This window comes from Homo sapiens, chromosome 5 (genome assembly GCF_000001405.40).
Source record: "Homo sapiens chromosome 5, GRCh38.p14 Primary Assembly".
In the NCBI taxonomy this organism is placed as follows: domain Eukaryota; kingdom Metazoa; phylum Chordata; class Mammalia; order Primates; family Hominidae; genus Homo; species Homo sapiens.
In genome coordinates, this window is record NC_000005.10 from 143,432,280 (window position 1) to 143,441,936 (window position 9,657).

At 40.4% G+C, this 9,657-nt stretch overlaps 1 protein-coding gene across 4 annotated transcripts in view, besides 2 other annotated features; it reads right to left on the minus strand.

Moving 5' to 3' along the window:
- Window positions 1-3,233, minus strand: part of NR3C1 (nuclear receptor subfamily 3 group C member 1) — a 157,582-nt gene extending 154,349 nt beyond the window's left edge. Inside the window, exons 1-2 of one of the 4 annotated variants that reach the window (NM_001364183.2) lie at window positions 2,253-2,530; window positions 1,440-1,538 (exon numbers count right to left, since the gene is read on the minus strand). The gene's annotated coding sequence lies outside the window, so the exon portion shown is untranslated. Of the gene's footprint in view, window positions 1-1,439; window positions 1,539-2,252 lie in introns of all 4 variants that reach the window. The other 3 variants (NM_001018075.1, NM_001018074.1, NM_001018077.1) reach the window with 3 other exon arrangements.
- Window positions 2,450-2,499: a silencer, noted in NCBI's record as "silent region_16484". NCBI's record gives its function as "represses an Ori minimal core promoter by ATAC-STARR-seq in GM12878 lymphoblastoid cells {active_cell/tissue: GM12878}" and the evidence as "EXISTENCE:reporter gene assay evidence [ECO:0000049][PMID:35858748]".
- Window positions 2,980-3,179: an enhancer, noted in NCBI's record as "active region_23348". NCBI's record gives its function as "activates an Ori minimal core promoter by ATAC-STARR-seq in GM12878 lymphoblastoid cells {active_cell/tissue: GM12878}" and the evidence as "EXISTENCE:reporter gene assay evidence [ECO:0000049][PMID:35858748]".

Sequence of the window (9,657 nt, forward strand, 5' to 3'; positions counted from 1 at the left end):
AGTGCTATAAAGAAATAAGGTCATAACAAGGTAGTAAGGCATCTAGCATATATTCCAAATTCACAAACATTGGTCCTGCAGGATTTCCAGGTGATGGTGACTGTGGTGGCAACGGGGATGGGGACAGATTTCTAGTCCTGAGGGGCATCTTTGTGGAAACATCAGAGCCTTGGTCCATGGATTCCTGCCATAGTGGGGACAGAAGTGAACTATTTCTGGCTGCACGTCAGCACCCTTAGGCATTTCCAGAAATATTTAGGGGAAAGACACTCTTTAAAAGGCTGAGGTAAAGCAGGGACACTCAAAATTGGTGAAGTGTGAGATGCTCGGGATGAGTTTGTTTAAACAAAGTAAGCCAAAGGGGCTATTAAAGCGTACGGTTCCCCATGAATTCAATGTTTTTCTTTAAGCAACTCAACTTCTGTGGCTACTTGTTACAGCTATTTCAAGGAGCTGCCCTTGGAAGCCTTCATTTTTATGAGGTGTAAGAAAAACCATGACTCAGGTAAATCTGTCAACATTTTCCCATAGAAAGTTTATCTTTAGAGGCTCCTCCCACCGGGATCCTCTCCATCTGTCCACAGCCTACTGAGTAACCCACCGACTATTGCGTTCTCTGCCCCACGTTCATTCGTTCCTTTTCCCTATTCAAACTTCAACTAGCTCTAATGGCAGAAAAGTGATCTGATATATAACGTCACCTAAAAGGACAAATGACTGACAGTAGCTCGATTTAGTTTCCATTTTAAAGGAGGATGTTTGGAGTCCACAATGCCTTAATGGAAAGGAATTGGGCTAATTGTGTAATTCTTTCAACAAGGCAGGCCATTGGTGGGAGGCTTTTGGGCAGGGGAGCTTCCTGGAATCTGTTAATGATATACCCCAAAGGCAACTCAACTGACTCATGAAGTTAACTCTGATGGTGCTGATGATGTTACTAAGAAGCCCTAAGCCTGTGCTGCCTAAAGTTCACAGAGTTTTATTTAACATATTCTTTTGAGCTAGGCAGAGAAGAAATGACCATCTCTCATTAACAGCAAGGATACTGAGGACTGGAGATCACCCTCATTTGCCCAAGTGTCTCAGCTAGTAGCTGATGGAAACAGCACTAAATATATATATATATAATTTATTTATTTAAATTATATATATATATAATTTATTTATTTAAATTATATATATATATATATATTTAATTTCATCTTGTGTGGGCAAATAAAGGCAGAATGTCCAAGACAAGGTTGTTTACCTTGGCTGTTATTGGCACCTTGGAATAATATTAAGCTGTAAGGGGCTTAAGATCAGCTAAATTACCTGATCTGTAAGCCTCTCTCTTTTTCTCATCCCCCATGTCCAATCCTCCAGCAACTCCTGCAGGCTTAACATTCAAAATAAACACTTTCCACCATTCCACTGCTCCCCTCCATCTGAGGCCTTACCTCTCTCATGTAGATGGTTATGGCAGCTTCCTGACTGCTCTCCTTCCTTCCACACTTGCCCATCTACAGTTAATTCTTCACACACCAGCCAGAGGGATCCTGTTCAAACCTAAGGCAGGTCAGGGCGGTCCTTTGCTTGGAACCTTCAGCAGTTCCTCCCTGCAGGCAGAGTCAAAGCCCAGTCTGCACCTGGCTCCTGGCTGCCTTGATGGCCTCAGCTCCAGTTCTCTTTGCTCCAGTCAGACTGTCTTTCCTTTTCCTCAAACTTGCCACACACCTTCCTACCTCAGGGCCTTTCTACTGGCTATTTCCGCCCTGCCCCTTGAGTCTTCCAGATATTCACATAACTGGCCTCTTTACTTTATTCAGACCCCTGATCAAATGTCATCTCCTCAGAGAAGCCCCTCCGCCACTATCACTCTTCTAGCCTCTCATTGTGTTTTAGCTCTCCTTATAGCACTTTTTACCTAACACATTATATATATTTTAAAACGCGTTGTCTCGTTCTCCTTTCTAGTTGGAAGCTCCATGTCAGTTTTGTTTTGTTCCCTGCTGTATCTTCATTGCCTACAATAGCACTTGGCACATACTTGCTGAATAAATGAAACTGAGAAACTCAGAGCAAACTATTTCTTTTTAGATAAAGCCCACAAAAATGTTTTCTTCCTGTTCAGTTTAAACTATCCAGCACACAACATCAGCCTTGTGATTGTCTTTTTTTCTGATGCTCTGACCTCTGAGTGACCTTTAACAAGTAACTTTGTTAGAACTCACTTTACCCAGCTATAGAATGGGAATAAAAATATAACCTACCTTCCTTCTCAGACACTTTAATGAAGCAAAGTCTTCTTTGTTCTTTGAGGAAAGGAGCCAGGCAGATGAAAATTCCTGTTATTAAGGTACAACTAAAGCCCGAGGAGGGTAGGAGCTGCATTTTGTTCCTCCCCATTCTCGCACAGAGAAGGCACTCATTAAGTGCTTATCAAAGTTAATATCTGTGGCACACAAACTGCACCTGCCTCTGCAGCAGTCGTCACAGAAGCTGGCCCCTTTCCTGGGCTAACTGCTCTGAGAGCACCAGAATGAAATCTGACTTAGATATGACGCAGATTCCTTTTTTCAGAAGAAGCCAGCTACACAACTCTTGATGAACAAATAGCTACCAACGATGAGCACAAACCAGAGAATTTCAGAAGTGAAGAAAATTTCAGATCAGAAGATCCTGTCTCTCGGGTATAACTTTTTTTTTTTTGGAGAGAAATACAGTGACTCTCCTAATTATGGTGAATTTCCTAGTTCAGCTCAGAGCCACTGATTCAGCAGATATTCCCCCAGGCAGATCCTAATGGAAACCAACATGTGAGGTCTGATGCTGGGAATTTTATCATGCTCAACAAGGATTTGAAAACTAAATGAATGCGTGCATATTCACACTAAGCAATTTTCCTCCCTGCCTTCACCACTTTCCCTTTTTTCTTCTCTTACCCTCTTTCTGTTTCTATTCCTTCCCCACTCATGCCCCAGTGCTTCCGTTGGACACATGCGCATTTTACGGTCCTGCAGGGCTTGAAAGATTTCTGACCTTCTAAGGTCCAGTGATTTGGTATCAGAAGATCTAAGTTTTCTCCTTCTCTCTGCCATTTAAAGAAGCGTGTTGCAATTTCCCCAGCAGAAGTGAAAGTGATTCGCCTCTACTCAAATGTCTGCATAGGCACAAGAATGAGGGCGAGAGGGAGCAAGAGAAGAGGAAGAGGTACCTTTTGAATGGGGTGAAAGCAAACCCTTACATAACCTGACCACACAATAGGAGGAAATGAAAACTTGGGTTCAAGGGCAATTTTGTCATTGGTTATTAGTCTGTGTCATCAAGCAGGTGCCAGAAAAACAAATTTTATTTTGATTTTAGGCATTCATTTTAACAACTGGATTTTCCTAATTTCTCATTCCCAAGGAGGATCTATGCAAGAATGCACAATTTATAGTTAATTTGGAGATGAATAAAATATTAACATACCTTTTGTTCCCCCTAAAACATAATACCTAAATTAGTGTGATGCCTTGGTTACCATCCTACATATGTATTTGGATTGTAAATGAGCTCAGTTTTAAGCACATTTGTAACAGTGGAACAAGTGAGGCTTGTATTACATGGCCAAATTGATATTAATGATGGTGGCCTCGAGAACGGATTCCATCCCAAGACATCTGATCTGCAGACAGTTGAGCATTCACAGCAGTTTTGACTTTATTGACTTCATTGGCCCCAGTCAGAAGGTTTTCATCTAGTGCATTCAGTTACCCTGATTTCTAATTACAATAGAATCTTTCAAATAGATTTGTTTCCAGAGAGCTTGCTTGAGATAGATTAAATGGCAGAAGTTGCAAAGGATGTCATTGTTTTACATAAAAGATCTGTGGAAATTACGCCTAGAAACTTGTTGCCTTTTTATTTTAAAAGCTGCTATATACAAAATAACAGTCAGGGTCAAATAGTTACCACTGTGACAACAATCATTTATGGTACGTTTGCAATTGTTCTAAAAAGTTAATATGGAAAAGTTACCAGAATTAAGTGGTGATGTTTTACTTAAGAAGTAGAAAAGATTTACAATTCATTATGGATGTAAAAAGAAATGGACTCTAAGAAACTTGTTACTGTAGTTGTTGAAAGAATATTGTCAAAGTGTTTATCCATATTAAGTGGCTCCATAGAACGTAGTTCCTTTAGATTTTAGTGTTAGCTTCTATAAAACTGCTGGTTTGTTTTAATCTTTTGGAAACCATAGGTGTTTTTTTTTAATACCAGTGATCATATTTTCCTTTGTGCTTTTGTTGGTAGGAAGCTCAGAGCCCAATTTACAATCTCTAATGACTCCTATTGAACTTTATATTTGCACTTCTTTTAGTTTCTTTTTTTTAGGGTGGGAATAGGGTTTTATTAATTTTTCCCTGGATTTATTTGCTTCACAATATTTCTCTTCACTTTGATTCAACTGTTTCTTTTCTCTTTTTCTATGATATATGTTCTTAAAAGCTGGCATGAAGTGAAATGGAGCATATCTGGTCTCAAAGTGACAAATTTAACACATCCAAAATCATCACCCTAGTGTGACTATTTATCCCATCTTACTATCGTTTTAGAACAATGCATTTAGAATGCTGTCCTCCTTCTTGAAGTTTTAAAAATCATTTAATTCTTCTCTGAATTAGTGTACACTAACGTTTACATCTTAATCTTTTATATTTTGTTTGTTTTTATCCTTTGCTTCAAAAGAAATTAATGTGCACTGTGACCTTAGTTTCCATTAGTCATCAACTTGGGGACTAACATGACTGCCTCACTGTCAGTGAGTATCTTTTTCTGATAGTTCCAGGAGGGGTGATTAATCTCACCTGATTCATCATGTTCTTTTACTCTGTCTGCCCAGTGACTATGGCCTTGCATTTCCTTGCATTTATTTCTTTACCATCTAATTCAACTTAATTATTTATTGTTTGACCATTTTGCATTCTCTTTCTTCCTGTCTCTTGCACAGAACTCGCCATTCCTTCTCTGTTTCCATTCAGCCTCCTTTGCTGGTTCCTCATCTCCCCTACATCATAATGCTGGAGTGCCTTAGGGCTAAGTCCTTGGGTCTCTTCTCTTACCTGCAAATACTCTTACCTTGGTTGGTTTGTTTAACCCAATGGCTTTAAATCAAATTTCTACACTGAAGACCGAAATTTATGTCAGCAACTTGGATGTCTCTTCCGAACTCCAGACTCACATACGCAACAGCCTACTCATCATGTCCAGGTGGATATTTAGTAGGCATCTCAAAGTTATTCAAAACTGAACTTCTGGTCCCTACTCATAACAAACAACTGTGTTTTTCCTGCAGCCTTCTCCTATTCACTTTAGAGCAATTCCAACTCTATCCTTTCAATTGCTTAGGACTTCGAAAGTCTAGGAATCATCCTGAGTCCTCATGTTCTCGCACACCTCATATCCAGGCCATTGATCCAATCCTGTGATTTCTAGCTTCAAGATATATCCATCTCTATCCTATATTTGCTTGGCTGCTAGCAGCATGACCCCAGCCACTGTCATCTCTTGCCTGGGTTAGCAACAGCCTCTTTTAGTCCTGGCCCTGTTCCTGCCCTTGCCCTGGAATGCGCTCTTCTCCACCCAGCAGCCAATGGGGTCATGTGAAAATGCATCCCCAGTAGAAAAGAAAAACCTTTTCACCTCACTCACACTTAAAGCCACAGTCCTTACAACGGCCTTCCCAGCCCTACAAGATCTGGACCCCAGCCTCTCTGAGCCTCCTCCTCACTCATCATGCTTCAGCCACTGTCCTCTCCCTGGCCTCTCCCAGCCACATGCCTCTCCCCAGGCAGGGTCACTCTGTTTGCACACATCCCTCAGCTGCCCTTACTCCTTATCTCTTTCAGGTTTTTGCTCAAGCCTTCTCTCATCAGAGACTCTTCTGGTCAAATATCTGATCATCCTACTGAAAATTAAGGCTCCTTTTCTAGCCCCACCCTGTCTATCCCCGTTCTTGTTTTATTTTTCTCTGTAGCACTTATTACCATTTCAGATACCATATATTATTATACTTATTTGTTGTCTATCTCCACCCTCTTCTTCCAGAGTATAAACTCCATGTGGCTAGGGTTTTTTGTTTGTTTGTTTTTGTTTTTTAGACAGAGTCTCACCCTGTCACCCACGCTGGAGTGCAATGGCACGATCTCAGCGCATCGCACCTCCTGCCTCCCGGGTTCAAGCGATTCTCCTGCCTCAGCCTCCCGAGTAGCTGGGACTACAGGTGTCCACCACCATGCCTGGCCAAGTTTTGTATTTTTAGTAGAGACGGGGTTTCACCATGTTGGCCAGGTTGGTCTCAAACTCCTGACCTCATGATCTGCCCACCTTGGCCTCCCAAAGTGTTAGGATTACAGGTGTAAGCCACTGTGCCCGGCCGACGGCAGGGTTTTTATTTGTGTTGTTTATGTGGTCTGCTGAACACCTAGAACAGTCCCTGATGTGTAGGTAGCTCAAACAATATTTATTGAATGAATGGATGAAACCAAATACTCTGGCCTCGTTGGCACTAATTCTAAACCATTAAGCTAATGAAACAGAGTGCCATCCAAAATAAATTAATAGAATAAAGCAAGTCCCCATTATCAAAGCAAAATAGATAATTAAAAATTAAAGCAATAACTAGTTAATTAGGGCAAAGGGATTTTTTTATAACTGTGTTATAGGATCATATAGGACCGTGGGACTGAGAGAAAACCTGAGCTCTCACTCAGTCCTGCCTCCTAACTGCAAGACCGAGAGGGCACACTCCAACCATGTCAAAGAGGATCTTTTCCGTGTTAAGGGTATTTGGAGAAATACTCTGGTTTTTCAGTTATTCATATATTTTCTTTTTAATGTTCAACCACTCACCATCTGCTTCCCTTCTTAGAAAAGTCATATCTCTACCTTAAATAACACCGAAAAGAAAGGCCAACTGCGAGTACATGCAAACTCCTACTTCTCTTTGACTATCTGGCCCCAGATAGGAATGGAAAAAATACCATGTTCCTCAGGTGTCTAATATCAAAACAATGGCAACTCTATTAAAGGTACTGAAAACTTTAGCATTTTCCTAAGTTATCCTGAGTAATTTCCTTTTAAATACATTTTTTCTATTATAAGTTAAAACTTTTACTTTTTTAAAAAAGTAGAGGGCTGGGGCCGGGCGCAGTGGCTCACGCCTGTAATCCCAGCACTTTGGGAGGCCGAGGCAGTCAGATCACGAGGTCAGGAGATCGAGACCATCCTGGCTAACATGATGAAACCCCGTCTCTACTAAAAATACAAAAAATTAGCCCGGCCTGGTGGCGGGCGCCTGTAGTCCCAGCTACTTAGGAGGCTGAGGGAGGAGAATGGCGTGAACCCGGGAGGTGGAGCTTGCAGTGAGCCGAGAACCCGCTACTGCCCTCCAGCCTGGGCAACAGAGCGAGACTCTGTCCCAAAAACAAAACGAAACAAAACAAAACAAAAACAGTAGAGGGCTGGGTGTGGTGGCTCACGCCTGTAATCTCAGCACTTTGGGAGGTTGAGGCAGGCAGATCACTTGAGGTCAGGAGTTCAAGACCAGCCTAGCCAACATGGTGAAAACCTGTCCCTAGTAAAGATACAAAAAGTGAGCCAGGTGTGGTGGCTATAATCCCAGATACTCAGGAGGCTGAGGCACAAGAATCGCTTGAACCTGGGAGGCAGAGGTTGCAGTGAGCCAAGATTGCATCACTGCACTTCAGCCTGAGCGACAGAACAAGACTCTGTATCAAAAAATAAAATAAAATAAAATAAAATAAGGAAGAAACTGCTAGCTCATCTTTTAAAAGTATGTATACTGTAAGTCAAATTCTGTTATGGGAATGTGCTACAGTTTTTTAAAATCTCATAGGGTAAGATTTTCTGGTCAAGGGGAAGGTCTATTTTTTGCTAATATATTTTTATGTTAGATATTGCTTGAAATCGATTTAAAACACTGGCAAGTTTCCAATGAAACAAAAAACTTGCAGCATGAGAGAAGGTAGGCTAGACTGGAAGTTAAGAGACCTGGCTGGAATCTGGTTCCCATTATGTGATGAAACTGCTGTGTGAGCTTCAGGCAAGTTCCATCTTTCTGGCCTTGAATTGAGCTGTAGAACGAGAGCCTTAGATGTAAAGGAACTATGTATTCTCTTTCATCCCTAGGATTTATGATTCTTTGTATAGTTGAAATGAATTTAGTCTGAAGTTTTAAATTTTGATTTTCTCTCTTCTTCTTTCCCTTTTTCCTTCTTCCTTATCTCCTTCCTTCCATCCTTCCATCATTATTTATATTTTGCTTCTCTATTTCTTTTTCCTTTCTATTCTTTCTCCTTTTCTCCTCACCTTTCCTTTGTCTTTCAATTACTTTCTTACCTACTTCTTTATCTTTTTACTTGTCCCTTTTCCTTCCTTTTCCTTTTATTTTTTTCTTTCCTTTTCTCTTCATTTTTCCTTTCTACCTTCTTTCCAGCTTTCTTTCTTTCTTCTCTGTCATTCTTTTTCTCAGCAGCAAATCACTTGACATTTCAACAAATCCACAAAGTAGCAGTAGTTTTATGGGCTGGTATTAACACCTATTATGACCAGCCAGGCATTGCAAACTGATGTGAGTGCCGATAGGCCCGCTTTTAGGCCATGCATGGAAAGTAGCCAAATCTGCACATGGCTATTATTTAATGATGCCCAGAGTCAAACAGGAAGCCTTCTGCAAATTGCCTCACAAATTATACAGTGGCTCCCTGCCTGCTTGTTATTGGCATGAAATAGATTTGTAAAACCAGCTTCTGACATCCAAATTATTTCCCTGTCTTTTACACACACACACACACACACACACACACACTCAAAGCTACCCTTCTAACATAAAAATTAAAAATATATTTAGATAGGAAATGTCATAGTCAAAGAAAGCATAAGCAAAAAACTTGAGAAAATATTTACAATATAATGACAATCACAAGGTCTGATTTCCAAAATATGCAAAATGTTATTATAAATTATTAATGCATATAATTTCAATATAAAGTGGGCAAAATTTATGAATAGATAATTCACACAGAAGGAAATAAAAATGTCCAGCAAACATAATATTCTCAACCTCAATAATGAAAGAAACTCAGTTTGAAAGGGTCATTTTTTTGAAAGAAAAATTTGTTGTTTTAACAAAGTATAATGCTTCAAACTGGCCTGAAGAATAATATTGGTGTATATTTTCTCTTCCGTAGCTTTTAATCTTACCATGCACACTTTCAAAGTGACTAAAAATACTTTCTCCCAATAAACAATTTTGCCCAATAATATCCATCCCCTCCCTGAGCCCAGTTCTCTTAAAACTCTAGGTTGTAAAGAAATTGGGGAGTATTTTTTCTGAGTAATAGCCTATGCAAGCCAAATTCTTTTTTTTTCTTTTAAGAGACAAGGTCTCATTCTGTTGCTCAGGCTGGAGTGCAGTAGTGCTATCACAGCTCATTGCAGCCTCAAACTCCTGGGCTCAAGGGATGCTCTCATCTCACCCTCCTGAGTAACTGGGACTACAGGCACATGCCACCATGCCTGGTGAATTTATTTTGTTTTATCTTTTGTAGAGATGGGGCCTTACTTGTTGCCTAGGCTGGTCTGAAATTCCTGGCCTGAAGTGATCCCCTC